Genomic DNA, 16,415 nt, shown 5'->3' on the forward strand with positions numbered 1-16,415 from the left:
CACTCCCCAGCCAAGTACTTTCTGATACAGGAGTTAAGAAGCAATCACTTAGGCAAATAGTAAGGGTATGGGAGTCCTCAGTAAGGCTTTCTTTTAAATGAAAAGCAGCCCCAAATCATTTTCTAACTAAGAGCAGCCTGAAAAGTGGAGCCCCAGACATACATAAGCAAGCTGGGAGTTTGCATGGATGATTAACAGCAGGAACTAAGGACTAGAAGTATTCAAGATGGCAGCTCCATCTTCCCTTCTCTTTATCAGCAACCTGTACTGTAAGGACCAGACAAAATGGCACCAATCAACTGGAAAGCTATTTGCATAATAATATTAGGGTGGGGTGACCAACCTTCCCCACACACTATGTAAACATCATACCTGATCAAACCAATCTGTGAGCCCTATGTAAATCAGAGACTGCCTCCTCAAACCAGACTATAAAATCCTGTGCAGTCTCTGCCACTCAGTCCTTTTTCTGCTCTGAGACTCCTTTCTCTGTAGAGAGAGCAGTTTCTCTTTTCCTCTTCTGCCTATTAAACCTCTGCTCCTAAACTCCTCATGTGTGTCCGTGTCCTCAGTTTTCCTGGTACACCACGAGGAACCCCAGGGTATATACCCCAGACAATGTAGCTGCTTCACTTCCAGCTAGGCCGTCAGCACAGGCCCTAAGCAGATTGCAGGCAGAGATGCTGAGTGTAGACATCAGCCACAAGGCACGATCAGAGGTGTGAATCACCACACTCTGTGTTGGGAAGGCTAAGGTGGCTCCATTAGCGAAACAGGCTCAACTTTATTTATTTACAGTGAAAAGAAGCACAGAAAGAAGAAAAACGAAGCTCTCTCCTTCCTGATAAAATGATCCTTGTACATTATGAGCAGGTAGAAGGGGGGAACTGACGATGAGAAACAATATTTACCCAATGCCTTGACCAGGTACCAGCTGATGGTTTTAAAACATTCTTTAGACACAGCTCTCCAAGAACAAACATTATGGAAAGCCCAATTCATTAAAAGATACAGGTAAAAGTGTTCACTTTGAGTCTAAGGTAGTGACCTAGTCCTCTCGGGCAGCCCTGGGGGTGGGGGTCTACCAAGTACTGCTGGAGAATCCTTGGACCTTCTCCATCACCTGTTGTCTCACTTAAACCTCATAATAACTTTAGTTACAAGTTGTTGATCCCCATTCTCCTAGATTAGGAAACCAGGATTCAGCAGGACTGGGTGACTTGCCCACACAGCTAGTAGGCCCCCATATCCTGAAGCACCATCACAATGATCTGCTTCAATCAGCCTTACGTTGCAAAAAGTAGACAGAGCTTTTCAATATACAGAGAATTAAACAACACCAGCACAGGGGAAGGCGATGTCCACAGCAGGGCAAAAGAGAAAGAGCAGCCAAGTTAAGAAAACACGCAGCAGAGAACCCTGGAAATAGGACAAAACATCACCTCTAAACAGAATCACTGGTGCCGATAGCTGTCTCGTGAAGTGCCAAATCATGCTTTGATCCGAAGGCGAGAGTTGGAGGATACATGTGACACTCTCCCTCCTCTCCATCTCAGGCTCCCCTGGGTGAGACACTCTGCTTTGGTGCCAAAAGTGACAAACTAGTAATTAAAGCTTGTCTTCTTGGGCACTTGCAGTCACCTAATGGCTGCTGTATGCTCCCTTCTCCCAGGGGTGGCATTCTGGTCTCTCCACCCACAATCCTTGGCACCAGCCAGCATGATGGAGAAGCCTGGTCTGCCACAGGCATTATGGAAGAATGGATCTGCACAGTGGCCTCCTCATTCCCCACCAGCACAGTCCCCAAGGAAGGATATCTGGGAACATTCCTACACTGAAAGGTGCCAGCACCCACTGTGGCAATGCCGGCACCCACTCTGATGAGTTCATGGAGGTGTTTTGCTGGCGTGTTCTAGGTGAGAGGGGTTAAGAATGAAACTGTTACTTTTAGTTAAGACAAAATAAACAGCCTAACTCCTCTCAGCTCTCCTCTTCCTTCCCCACCTACAAAAAGATATGAGCACACAAATGAGGGGCTTTCTTTTAGAAAGTGGTTATTATAGAACGGGACTACAGAATGCACGTATTGTGCAGAATTATTTTAGAAACTCCATGAAGCTACATCAACCAAGGCTTCTCTCTTTGTGCCATCTAACTGAACAGAAAAATGGAATAAAAAATGTAGGGAAAAATAACAAGAGGAAGCCCAATAACACATAAATGCAAGCTGCATTGTTATTTTTGGTAAAAGTAAGACCTACAGATAATATTGCAGACAATATTTTTAAGGCTGTGGCTCCAGCCTCCCCAGGCCTATGAGTCCCTCTCCTGGAGTCCCTCACTCCTGGCGCCTGCCGCCAATCCTATCTTGTAGTCAGCAATCTCTACTAGGGAGTTAACTGATTATTATGGCATTAGCTAAAAAACATTTCAAGATTTCATGCCTGTAAAGAAATGTACGCACAGTAGAAATTGTCCTGTTTCTATGCACAGATAGATGCCACATGACAATTATTTAATCCAAGTTTTACAGTTTAACACTGTTGAACATTCCACTAATATGTTCCCTCTGCATCAGTCTTAAAACTTTCCATTCTCTTTCAGTAGACTTTCCTCTCATAATTATAACCCCATGCTATCTCCATCTTCCTTTTAACTTTCTGATACCTCCTATGAGGTAGGTTCTGTTAATATTATAACCATTTTGCAGACAGACAAGGACGTTGAGACAGAGGTTATTAACATGTCCAAATGCCACAGCAAATCGGGGTCTCTAGTCCGGTGTTGTCTGTGCTCTTAAGCACCATGCCACATGGCTTCTCTACAATCTACAGAGGTGCTTTCGCAGATGTGTGTTCACCATGAGGAAAAGCACTGATAGGTTAATCTGGAAATGCAGAATGCCCTTTCAACACACCGTCCTGGAGCGTAAGGGCAAAAGGGAGGTGTGCGGGGAGACATCATAGCAAAGGGCCCCTCATTTCAAGGCAGAAAATTGAAACTGATAGGATGAAATTTCATCCTATAGGTAACGGCTAGCCAGCTGTCTAAGATTTTAAACAACAGACTCACACGATCAGAATTGAATTTTAGCAAATAAGCAGTGTTGACATGAACTGGAGAGGAAAGACTGGCACTGGGGACACTAGATATGAGGCTATTACAATGTTCTAAATAAAGGCCAGGGAAGACTTAAACCCAGGCTACAGCACTAAAGACAGAGGAAGTACACCAATTACATGAGGAGAAAAAAAAGCTATCCATCAAGAGTAGGGCCCAGGGGGCCGGCACGGTGACTTACGTCTGTAATCCTAGCACTCTGGGAGGCTGAAGTGGGTACATCACTTGAGGTCAGGAGTTTGAGAACAGCCTGGCCAACATGGTAGAAACCCATCTCTACTAAAAACACAAAAATTATCCAAGCTTGGTGGTGTGCGCTTGTAATCCCAGCTATTCAGGAGGCTGAGGCAGGAGAATTGCTTGTACATGGGAGGCGGAGGCTGCAGTGAGCCGAGATCACACTACTAGACTCCGTCTCCAAAAAAAATAAAAACAAGAAGAAGAAGAATAGCGCCAGGGTTTAACATGTACATTTCTGAGGATGGAGCTGCCACTGAAAAATAACACACACAAGAGAAGTTCTAGGAGAAAGACAAGTTTGGTTTCATGGACCTGCAAACTTTGCTCTGCCTGCAGGAATGGAAGATAAGAGAGGGGGACTTTGAAAACAGAGCTCTGCTGGCATTCTTCAAATTACTGCACAGGCAAGCATCTGCTCTACCAATCCCTGCGTCGTGGTAAGACTTCATGTGTCCATTTGTTCTGACGTTGTAAGTTGCTTCCACATCTTGTATTTCCCTTTCTCCTAGCAGTCAATGCAGTGGTTGACATTACAGGCTCTGAGGTTGAGACCATTTGAGCCCTGCAGTTGTTTGGTTTCTTGAAGCCTTTGTCTCCCAGACCTGAGGAGCACAGAAAGGCTTGTCTTATAGAGTCCTCATGACGTACTCAGCATAGTGCCTGTAACAGAGTTAATATGAAATCAGTGTGAGCTAAATTAAGGTCAAAACCGTATTAGTGAGAGAAATGTGGCATGGACATCACTTTGCTGATGAGAAAACTACCACCAAGAAATAAATGGTTGGTGTGTATACACAGGTACAGAGCTGGTAGAAAGCACAGTAAGAACCAGAACTCAGAACTCGAGACTCTTCATCTCTTGCCTCTAAATTTGCACTTTCCAAATTTTAAATCAAAATAACTCACGTTCTTACCTCTCCAGATCCATTTATTTTAAGAAAAGAAAACCATAGTAAATTTGAAAAACTCTCTCTAAAATGCCATTTAAACTAAGTGGTACAGATTCCATTAGGGATCCTGGGAGATTTTAAAAGGCGATGTATGTAAAATGCTTAGCCCAGTGTCCTGGCACAGTGGAGGAGGACATTAGGTCTGGGGACAATAGATTCCATAGTTGTACACATGGGGCTGCAAGCAGCAGAAGCATTTTTCTGCACCAGCAACTTACCAGAAGGACTCTGGGTACACCTTGGTGAAGTTCTGACCTGCAAAGTCACTCTTCAAGTGGCAGCAAGCACATTTGGGAGAAATCTCAAAACCTCCTAAGTTATTTTTAAATTGCAATTTTCCAGTAGCTCAAAATATGATTCAATACACTAACGTTCTAATTTCAGCTACTGGTACTAGACACATTCCCAAGGCTCAAAAAAAAATTTAAACAATAAAAGATTCTTCCCAAAGTAAGGCTGCAAGATGTCTGTGGTGAGCGGAGTTTCCTGATTCCCTCTTCAAACTGCATGCTACTATCCTGACATATAACAAGGCTCAGTTCAAGGCTGCCTAGGAGAGGCATAAAATGCCTCCATGTGAAAGATAAGTTGGAATATGATCCTTTTGAATACACTCGTGTGAAGCTGCAACAATTGCGGACATTACCACCACTGCATTGCAAAAATCTACAAGGAACAAGACCATCAGAGTTCCATCTCACGTAACAGTGACCTACACTGAAGCAAGCACCTGTGAAAGAGGGGCGGGGCACCACCTTCTCATGCCACACCCACCTCGCTCTATAGGAAAGGTGGCATGTAAGATGTTCCTCAACAGCATTATCACACAGTACTATTTTTACTTACTTATTTGGAGACAGGTTCTCACTCTGTCACCTAGGCTGAAGTGCAAGGGCGCGATCATGGGTCACTGCAGTCTTGAACTCCAGGACTCAAGCCATCCTCCCACCTCGGCCTCTGGAGGAGCAGGGACTACAGATGCATGACATGATGCCCAGCTAATTTTTTTTTTTTACTTTTTGTGGAGACGTAGTCTTGCAATGTTGTCCAGGTTGGTCTTGGACTCCTGGGCTCCAGCGATCCACCCACCTTGGCCTCCCAAAGTGGTGAGATTACAGGCAGGAGCCACCACGCCCAGGCTACATGGTACTATTCACACCCAGGCTACATTGTACTATTAAAACAGAAAACAACTTTTCTAGCATTCAGTAAATAATGTTATAAACAATGTGAATTGTATTCACGTAATCATCAAATATCTATTAAATGCTTACTGCATGGAAGGGACCATACCAATTATCACAGGAGACAAACCGAAGGGTCAGCTGAGATCCCTGTCCTCACCAGGGTAATGGGGAGTGGCAAGGACAGTTCTAAAAACAATGTTTATGTCAAGGGAATGTGATCAGTCATTCGCGATATAAACAAAACAATGCCGTAGTTCAGAGGAGAGAAAGATCATCTGTTTGGAAGAATCACAGAAGCTTCTGCAGAGCCTTTCAAGTTGAGTATTATTTGTTAGGTAGAGATGGAAAAACTTGGGAGAATACCCAAATCATCATGGATATAAAATATGCAGCAGGGCCAGGCACAGTAGCTCACACCTGTAATCCCAGTGCTGTGGGAAGCTGAGGTGGGGGGATCACTTAAGGCCAGGAGTTTGAGACAAGCCTGGGCAACACAGCAAGACCCCATCTCTAAAACATAAAAATTAGCTGGGCATTGTGGTACATTCCTGTAGTCCTAGCTCCTTGGAAGGATGAGGCAGGAGGATCGCTTGAGCCCAGGAGTTCAATGCTACAGCAAGGATCACACCATCTCACCCCAGCCTGGGCAACAGAGTGAGATCCTGTCTCTGAAAAAACACTGCCACAGATCTAATTAAGATTTTCCATTCCCACCATCCCCACTCCAATTCCGCTATTAACGATGCATGTTATTTTAATAAAAAGACGAAAAAATAGAGAACTCAAAACTCACCATTTAATCAACCATGCCTAATTTTTTTTTCTAGATTTTGTTTTTCTAGTCTGTTTCTTTTAGCTTTCAAACCCTTTACATATTTCCCAGGGCAAGGTGAAAATACAATGAGCCTTGTCATAGTCCTAATTTTTTTAATATTAGTTCCTTCCATATAGTAGGAAGAGTTGGGATTTTTTTTTCTTGACTCTAAGTTAATGAGTCTCAAGATTGATATAAATGCAATTATCCTGTGGAGTGGTGAGTCTAAGGAGGCTTCAGCTTTTAATAAACATTGCTTATCCCTATTAAAAGCCTCTAATGTGATAAGGTTTGTAAGCCCTTAGCTACAGAGGACTGGGACCATTGATTGCCTAAGCCCCCAAGATGTTTATTTCCAGCTTCCCCGCTCAATGACAGAACAGACATAAACAAGAACATAACAAAACAAGGTGTACCTTTATGGAACATCCCACAGCCTCAGCCTAAGAATCAGGCAAAAGATGCTGGAAATAAAGAGAGAAAGAGAGACACAGAGAGAGAGAGACAGAGACCATCCCCACTACAGACACTTGTAAACCAGAACAGTATCTCTGAGGACCAGCCAAGGAAATTGAGAAATAGTGCCTAGCACAAACTGACCACAGCATTGCTTATGATTTACTACTCTGTTACATCTTTATTTCCAGCAATTCAGAAAAGCAAGCATGCCCCTTCAGTATGGAAACTTTGTGTTCTTTGTCCAATATATATCTGCCAGGCCTGGCTCTCCTTCCAGGGCAATCCCTGTTGCCAAATTGATGAAAAACTAATGTCAATTTTCTTTAAACAAACGTGAAAATGGCTTGCAGAGTTAAAACTAAAACACTCATTGTGGGAGGCATCATTACTGCCTTTATTTTTGTTTCTACTGGCACTAAAAACCTGCAGAATGGCTGGGCATGGTGGCCCATTCCTGTAATCTCAGCACTTTGGGAGGCTGAGGCCGGCGGATCATTTGAGATCAGGAGTTCAAGACCAGCCTGGCTAACATGGTGAAGCCCCACCTCTACTAAAAAATACAAAAAAGAAAAAAAAAATTAGCTGGGCCTGGTGGTGCATGTCTATAGTCCCTGCTACTCAGGAGGCTGAGGTAGGAGAATCGCTTGAACCCAGCAGGCAGAGGCTGCAGTGAGCTGAGATCATGCCACTGCATGCCAGTCTGGCTGACAGAGGGAAACTTGTCCCAAAAAAAAAAAAAAAAAAAAAAAAAAAAAAAAAAGTAGAGCCCACCATAAGCCTTGTGCACAAAGCTGGAATAAATGACCTAGAGAAAAGTTGCCAAGTGACAACAGAGAGAAAGCAGCCTGCCCTCGGAGCACATTTGAGGTACATGAATGTCCTAGTCTACAGAGGCACAACCTCTGAACTGAGGCCCTAGAACCAGCACCTTGGCAGTGCCAGCTACGTGAGGCCAGGGGTGGCTCTATTTTGCTGCTCCCTGAGGGATTACTGCCAGCGTCAGTGCTGCTCCACTGCTCTGTCCTATATAACCGTAGTGCAATATCCAAACCAGAAACTAGGTCTAGTGCGCATTTACCATTCCATTTTATCATATGTGCAAGAATGGGGAAACTAGCTGAGGAATACTTCAGACCTTTACAACTTCCTATAAATCCGTAATTATTTTCAAATAAAAAGTTAAAAAAGGAAAAGGCTGCCCAGCTCCACAAGGCCCAATGCTGTCATATCCTACCTCCCGCTACGCTTTGTTCAAACCCACCTCTCTCATGAAATCCAACTGAGTCTAGGGAAAGGGACATGGGATTGGGAGGCAGGAGCCCTGGTTTCCATTCAGGGGCTTGCATTTCCTTAACTAGAGGGGCAGAACAGCTATTACTCAAGGGCCCTTAACTTTTAAGATTTATAGATAAAGGCCAGGCACAGTGGCTTACGCCTATAATCCCAGCACTTTGGGAAGCTGAGGCAGGCAGATCACAAGGTGAAGAGAATGAGACCATCCTAGCCAACATGGTGAAACTTCATCACTACTAAAAATACAAAAATTAGCTGGGCATGGTGGTACGCGCCTGTAGTGCCAGCTACTCGGGAGACCGAGGCAGGATAATCACTTGAACCTGGGAGGCGGAGGTTGCAGTGAGCCAAGATTGTGCCACTGCACTCCAGCTTGGTGACAGAGCGAGACTCTGTTTCAAAATAATAATAATAATTTATATATAAAAATTGTAGGTAAAAGAGAAATGCTTATTTGACTGATAAAGATATTACTTAAAGGAGCCACAATCCAATGGCGATCAATCAGAAACAAAAATAAACCATTTCTAAAAACATCACGTAATTTAATAGAAAAAGCTCCATCCTTTACCAAACTTCAAACAAACGACTACTTCTCCAACAGGTATTTCATGAGTATAGCAAAATACAACAGAAAAAGTACTTGGCTCACTTTTTTGCAACTAAAATTATCAAAGCTCTGGCCATTCCAGGAGTACAAAAAATGCTAACAAAATCTTTAGACAACCTTCGGTTTAACAAACATTTACTCAGTACCTACGTTAAATGCTATGTTAAAGTCTCATTCAGGATCTTAGATATCCGTATCTATATGACTCACTACATATCTACCCACCTATCTATATCTATCTATACCTATATACTATGTAGCTAAAGACAGGTAAAGCTCACGATATCAAGATAAGTAAGACAGCATTCTTGACCTTAAGGAGTTTGAAGTACACTGGCAGTAACAGATCCATGAAAGGATAAATCAATCAACTAACTGCTAGGACAGAGGAACAAAAGGAACAAAGGGGACATAGATGAGGAATATTCAACCTAACCTCACGCATTCAGAAACAGCTTTCTGCAGGAGATGACACCTCAGCTAGGTCTTGGAGGAGAAGGTTAGCCAGGAAGAGAGGATAAAAGAGGGCCAGGAACAGTGGCTCACACCTGTAATCTCAGCACTTTGGGAGGCTGAGGAGGGTGGATCACTTGAGCCCAGGAGTTCAAGACCAGCCAGGCCAATATGGTGAACCAACCCCGCCCCTCCAACTCCTAAAAATAGAAAAATTAGCCAGGCATGGTGGTGGGTGGCTACAGTCCCAGCTACTCCAGAGGCTGAGGACGGAAAATCGCTTGAACCTGCGAGGCAGAGGTTAAAGTGAGCTGAGATCGTGCCACTGCACTCTAGCCTGGGTGACAAAGTGAGACTCCATGTCAAAAAAATAAAGGATAAAAGAGGCTTTCTGGTAGAAGTAACTGAGTGGCATAGGCTTGGAAGCGACATTACGCATGAGAACCACGCAGGCAGGTCAGCATAGCTGGAGTGTGGGGTGCTGAGCTGAAGTAGCAGGGTCAGGCTGTAGAAAACCAAAAATATCAAATTTGGGGAGGAGATTATGAGTGTGGGCTTAGACAAGTTAAGCTCAAGTGCCTCTGAAGCATCCAGGCGGAGATGGTGACTAAGCAAGTCAGAGAAAAGAAGAGCTGTACGCCAGAGAGGTAGATTCAGGGCCACTGGCATATTGATAGGAATCAAACCGTAAGACTGAAGGAGATAAACTCAGGGAGAAAATCGAGTGGGAAGAAAAGGTGGTGCTGAGTCTATAGGAACTCCAACATCAAACAGCCAGGAAGAGGAAATAAGCCTGCAAAGCAGCTGGAGAAGGAACTTCTGGAGATGACCCACATTGTTATGAACTTGGGGGCTGAGGCTCTGCCTGAGTAGGTTTGACACAGGGCTATCCAGAACTGACTGAGGTAGCCTGGCTAATTCTGTAGCCCATTTTTGCCACGTATCCCGGTCATGTTCTCCAAATTAGCCAATATTTGTGTCTCCATCTGCCCGAACACCATTTTCCGACTCGTTCAGGACTGAGAAAGAAAAAGAAAAAAAAAAAGCAAGCAGCCCTTGATATTCAGAAGCTTGCCTGACAGTCACGGCAAGGTCATGTTATTCCGCTATTAGACATAAACCATCTCAAAGAAAACCAGCCTCACACAAGTGATAAAGAGAGACAAAACAAGGCCACTCCATAATTTTGTCTAAACACAGACAAAAACAAGGTCAACATGTCACCCGCAAAATACCAAACACCCCCTTTTCTTGGCCAAAGTGACTGCCTCTTTACTAATTACAACTTTATCCTCATTCTAGACCCCCATAGTAAGATTTACTGAGATACCTTATGTGAGAATTACTCTTTCTGAGGAGATCCAATCTAGAGCAAATCTCTCCTTCCTTAAACCCACCCCCAAATCATCCAACCAAGACCCAAATCTGTATGATGGGTTCTCCCTCAACACCCTCTTACTAGGATACCTCACGACTTCCCATGGTATGCATTCTCCTTTGCAGCAACAAATAATAAACCCAGCGTGTCCAACTACAGAGTGTGCCTAACAGTCTTTGGCTGGAGGGAACTGACAGAACTCAGATGTAGAAAATAAAGATATCAAACCCCTAGATACCCCAAACGCTAAGGCTAGGATGGTAGTTCTCTCTTGAGATGGAAGAAGTGGGATGTGACTGGGGAAGGGCACACAGCCTTCAGAAGGTCTATGAGTAATGGTTGTTAATGTTAAGATTTTATTTATTAAACCAAATGGCGAGTAGATGGGGCTGTCATTCACAAAATTTTGAAGTCTCAAAATTTGAATATACCTTTAAAAAGAAGGATTCAGTGGACAGCAACGTCAGATGCTGCCGAGAAATCAAGTAAGCTGAGAACTGCAACAAAGCTCGGTGAGTTGAGCAACGTGGGGGTCAACGGTAACTTAAAAGCTTTTTTGGTGAGTTGTTGAGTGCGAAAGAAGAGTGAATTAAAGACAGAGTGGGAAGGAAATGGAGACAATGAATATGCAGAAATTTTTCCAGAAGTTTAACTGCATAGCAGAAGAGTGAGAGTGAGTGAGCAGTAGTTGGAAGGGTGTGTATCAGGGAGAAGACCAGGGCATTTGTGCAACTGACCAGACCTGTGGGCCTTGACCACTACTGGGCATCAGCTCTTCCTCCTGGCTCCTGGAATCCTACTCAAGGCTGGTGGCAAACAAGTAGGAGCTAAATCAAGAAGAAGCTCTTATCTCCTGTTTCACTTGACTTTGACGTTTGGGCTCTTAATAACATTTCATTCATCATTACTGCAACCCTTTCCCCATTACTAATAAATATCAGGAATAGTTATCAAATACGTATCAATATCAAAATAGCAGTGAATGAAAAAGTGGTAAGGGAAAATGTGTCTATTCATTAAAACTTCAAATACACACACACATACACCCACACACACAGAGTTGTCGCTTGGTATCCATGAGGGACAGATTCCAGGACTCCTCCATGGATACTAAAATCCATGTATGCACAGCTCCCTTATGCAAAATGGTGCAGTACTTGTGTATAACCTAAGCACATCCTCCTGTATACTTTAAATCATCTCTACATTATTTATAATAACCTAACACAATGTGATGCTATGTAAATAGCTATTGTACTATTATTTGTATAATTTTTACAATTATTTCTCATATTTTATTTTTTAAAATAGTCTCAGCCCAACACAGTGGCTCACGCCTGTAATCCTAGCACTTAGGAAGGCTGAGGTGAGCTCTTGCCTGAGCTCAGGAGTTGGAGTCCAGCCTGGTCAACATGATGAAACTCTGTCTCTACTAAAAATACAAAATAATTAGCCAGGCATAGTGGTGCGTGCCTGTAATCCCAGCTACTCGGGGGCTGAGGCATGAAAATTGCATGAACCCAGGAGGCAGAGGTTGCAGTGAGCCAAGATCACGCCACTGCACTCCAGCCTGGGCAACAGAGCGAGACTCTGGCTGAAAAAACAAAACAAAACAAAACAAAACAAAACAAAAAAAATTCAATCCATGGTTGGTTGAATCCATTCAATATCCATGAATGTGTACACATACACACACACACACACACACACACACACGCACACAAGTACTGACTGTACATGAGTGTGTATGTGTATATATGTAAGTGTATATATAATTTTATAATATCTATAACTCTTTGCTTCATTAACATAGATGAGTAACAGATTTTGCATTTATGACTTAGTCTCTACATTTATGCATTATAATCATGACATGTAAACTTTACTAGAATTCAGTCGCTAAACTCTTACTTCTAAAAAAATGTAAAACCGATAGCACAGCAGAAAAAAGTAAATTGTTCACCGGGCACAGTGGCTCGCAGCTCGAGTCCCAGTTATTCAAGTGGCTGAGGCTGGAGGATCGCTTGAACCCAAGAGATCGGGGCTATAGCGAGCTATGATTGTGCCACTGCCCTTCAGCCTGGACAACAGAGCAAGACCTTATCTCATAAAGGAATAGAAAAGGAAAAAGTTGATTGTCCATGAAGTTAGTAAGACTATTTACCTGAAGTCACAGACTTTCTAATGAGAAAGGGACTGGTGAGGAAAAAAGAGTCACACGAAATGAGCAACAGAAGTTTTGTTCAACACAAATATTTCCCTGCAATCTGGAGTGTGTGGAGTTACTGCCTCTAGCCCCACTGCCTTGAACCTACAGGGGGTTCTCTGCCACTCCCCACAGAAACTGTCATCAGTCAATCAGTATCAGCTGATCTTCAAGCCTGACACTTCAAGTGTGAATACCTAAGAATCTGAACCCGTGGTTTCTTGCTAAGGCTTCCATTTCCTATTACATGAAAACATCTTGATGATTAAAAGAAAAATTAAAACCTTAGACTAATTCCAGGGAGCTTGAAACTCTTCAGAGATAGAGCTATTTTCTAAATCCTCATGACATTCCACCAAGGGAGGCAGATATCTATCATCTTTATTTTAGAGTTGGAAACATTGAAACCCCAAAAGCACAAGCTTCTTAAAAAGAATGTAACATAATCAGTCTGCCAGAATTTTCACTCATAGCTCCACATAATTTAAAAAGTCAATGTAAGTCAAATGGGATGGACGTTAATATTGCCATTCCCATGAGACATATTCTGGACTGCTAAAGAAATTGCAGGGCAGGAGGCAGAACACCCAGCTCAGTCCTAGCTGGAGCCACAGCTTTGAGTGGATCACTTCATTTATTTAAGTTCCCTTATTTACAAAATACTATCAAAATTTACAATGCAATGGCATCTCCAAGTCCTGTTTCTAACACCACCGCTTACCAACTAAGTAACCTTGGCAAATCACTAAAGTTCTCTGGGTCTCAGCTTCTCAGGTGCAAGGAAAATTGACATAGAATCTCATGACTTCAAGGCAGGAGCCCTCAACACCTCACCTCTTCAGAGTATAGCCAAGGTGAAATTTTTTTATCAACTGTGACTTCGGTGGAACAAAAGAACTTTGTTGTTTGCAAGCAAATTCAACTTGGCTTTCACGTCCCCAGTCTGCAGGGAGCACACCACCCATCATAGCCTGTTCTGCTCTACTCACTGTGATCCAGTGGTTCCTTTTGGCCAGATGCAGGTACTGCCCAGTCCAAAGCTCAATGTCTTTCCAGCAGATGGGGCCTCTGGGTTTCTCCTGCCTGCCCCTTCCCTTTTCCCTGGATGCTTGGGCTTCTGGAAGGGAAAAGAGGAGCCTGGCCCTTCTGAATCTCTCTACTTCCTGCCTGCTGGTTGAGTTTTTCTTTCCTATTCTAAGGAAAATAGTCCTGACATCATATCCTGCATGAATGCCATGGTGTACTGTAAATTCTAGGCTCTGTTGGTCTTGGCTGGTAGGAGAGCACAGAGCCTTCGTCGCTGTTTCTTTCTGTCTCTCAACAAGTTTAGCTTTTGGAAATTAAAAAAAAAAAACATGTTTGTTTGCACATTATTGTCTCGCTCTGGACCTTAAAACAATCTCATTTTGATCCTGGAAGCCCAGCAGCCATGGCTTCTTTATCCAAGCTATACCCACCCTCCTCCCAAAACAACAATTATCCCAGTTTCAATGGATGCAAAGCTGCAGGGCAGTGAGGAACAATTAGGGGTGACTGGGGATGAGGACATATGAGCCCGGTATTTTCAAAAACATGAGCCGTGTTACAAAAGCCTTTTATGTCTGTCTTCTCTTTTCTATTCCCTTAAACATCTCTCTGCTTTAGGTTCCTATCATGACAAAAGAGCTCCCTAACCAGTCTTCCCACTCCAAATCCTCACCACAGCTGCCATTATAGTTTTACTAAACCATGGCTTCAATCATGATTTTCAAAAATAATGACCTGGAAAGTCCTCACACTGACCCTCAAAGTCTTTCTAATGTGGCCCTCTCCCTGCCTTCTAGCCTTGGCTCCTACCATATTCCAGTCATACGAGTACTCAGATGGCAGAAGGTGCCTGAAGAGGTAGTGAGCTCTTCCTCATCACAGATACACATGTTCAGGCTGGTTAACCCTTGGCGAGAAGGTACAGAGAGCGAGGAGTCACCTAAAATGCTAGATTCAGATCCATCTACACCAAAGGAAATGTTTACACATACCCCACTTCTCTGTACTACAGGTGAACTACAAAACAAGCTGCTTATCCACCGGACTCAGTATTTTCCAACTGCCATACATCCCATCCGATCAACACTGTCATCTTTGTCTAAAATAGTCCTCTCTTCTTCTACCCCAACTTTTATTTTCCTTTCCTAATTCTGCTCCTTAAGACTTATCTTAAATATTAAATGTCAAACTTTTCATGAAGCTTTTCTTTTCTACTGTATATTCTATCCTGTTTAGTCTTAAAGCAGTTTGACGTTTTTGTTTTTGTTTTTGTTTTTGAGAGACAAGGTCTCCCTCTGTCACCCAGGCTGGAGTGTGGTGACGATGTCATAGCTCACCACAGCCTCAAACTTTTGGGATCAAGCGATCCTCTCACTTCAGCCTCTTGAGTAGCTAGACCTACAGGTACATACCACCACACCTAGCTAATTTTTTTATTTTTATTTTTATAGAGATGGGGTCTTGCTATGTTGCCCAGGCTGGTCTCAAACTCCTGGCCTCAAGTGATCCTCCTGCCCTGGCCTCCCAAAGCATTAGGATTACAGTCATAAGCCATGAGTCCCTATTTTTAATTTATCCTAATTTAATTTAATTTCCCTATTTTTAATTTATGCTTTTCCAAATCCTACTCTTCCAAGACTTATCAATATCAAATGGTTCATGAAGATTTTCTTCGCTAGTGTACCTTCTATCCTGCTTGGTCTTCAAGCACTAGAGTTTAACCTTTCTATGGCTCATATAGAATATTTTTGATCATATCTTTTCATGTACTTCACATCCTCCTAATAGGCTGTAAGCTCTTTGAGAGCAAGGAATGGCTCTTCCTCTTTCTGTGTATTAACAGCATCGACAATGCAGAATAACGCTTAGTTTCAGTATGTTGAGCTCCCATAATATACTGATCATAATGCTCATTGCTGTAGGCATATAGAAGAGCTTTTTACAGTTCTTTTTCTCCAAAACATATGCAGTCTAATTGGGAATACATGGAAAACAAAGCTTAGATTTTTTAAAAGGGTCAAAATAATAAGATGTTTAAAACCATGAGGGGAAGAAAAAGAGAATCTTTACTATTACACCAAAATAATCTCCCCAGATTTTTTGGCATGTCTCTCCCTACCTTCCCCCCATGCCAAATCAATTGTTCTGAGGTACTCAGATGCAGAATTTGGTCTTATTTCCTTTCAAAATCTAAATTTAAAATAAGTATAATATTAAAAATATATTCAGTGATGTGTGACAAATAGTATAAAGTTTGAAAGAATACTTGATGTTAGCAAGTTCATAGTTCAATGTAATATTAAGTTGCATATGAGGCCGGGTGTGGTGGTTCACATCTGTAATTCCAGCACTTTGGGAGGCCAAGGCATGTGGATCACTTCAGGTCAGGAGTTCGAGACTAGCCTGGCCAACACTGTGACACCTCATCTCTACCAAAAAAATACAGAAATTAGCCAGGTGTGGCAGGTGCCTTTAGTACCAGCTACTCAGGAGGCTGAGGCAGCAGAATAGCTTGAACCCAGGAGGCAGAGGCTGCAGTGAGCTGAGATCCCACTACTGCACTCTAGCCTGAGTGACAGAGTGAGACTCCATCTCAAGAAAAAAAAAATCTGTGTAAGAGTACTTATTTAATCAAGAAGCAGATTCCTGGGGAATCGGACACCCATCGGCTGCATTGCT

The 16,415-nt window shown here is 42.9% G+C and overlaps 1 protein-coding gene across 58 annotated transcripts in view; it reads right to left on the minus strand.

Annotated features, from left to right (window-relative positions):
* Nucleotides 1-16,415, minus strand: part of CSGALNACT1 (chondroitin sulfate N-acetylgalactosaminyltransferase 1) — a 353,748-nt gene that overhangs the window by 113,959 nt on the left and 223,374 nt on the right. Inside the window, exon 1 of one of the 58 annotated variants that reach the window (XM_011544583.2) lies at nucleotides 13,700-14,151. The exons of the other annotated variants lie outside the window; for them this stretch is intronic. The gene's annotated coding sequence lies outside the window, so the exon portion shown is untranslated. Of the gene's footprint in view, nucleotides 1-13,699; nucleotides 14,152-16,415 lie in introns of those variants that run through there. 58 annotated transcript variants of the gene reach the window in all.

Source organism: Homo sapiens, chromosome 8 (genome assembly GCF_000001405.40).
Source record: "Homo sapiens chromosome 8, GRCh38.p14 Primary Assembly".
NCBI classification, from domain to species: domain Eukaryota; kingdom Metazoa; phylum Chordata; class Mammalia; order Primates; family Hominidae; genus Homo; species Homo sapiens.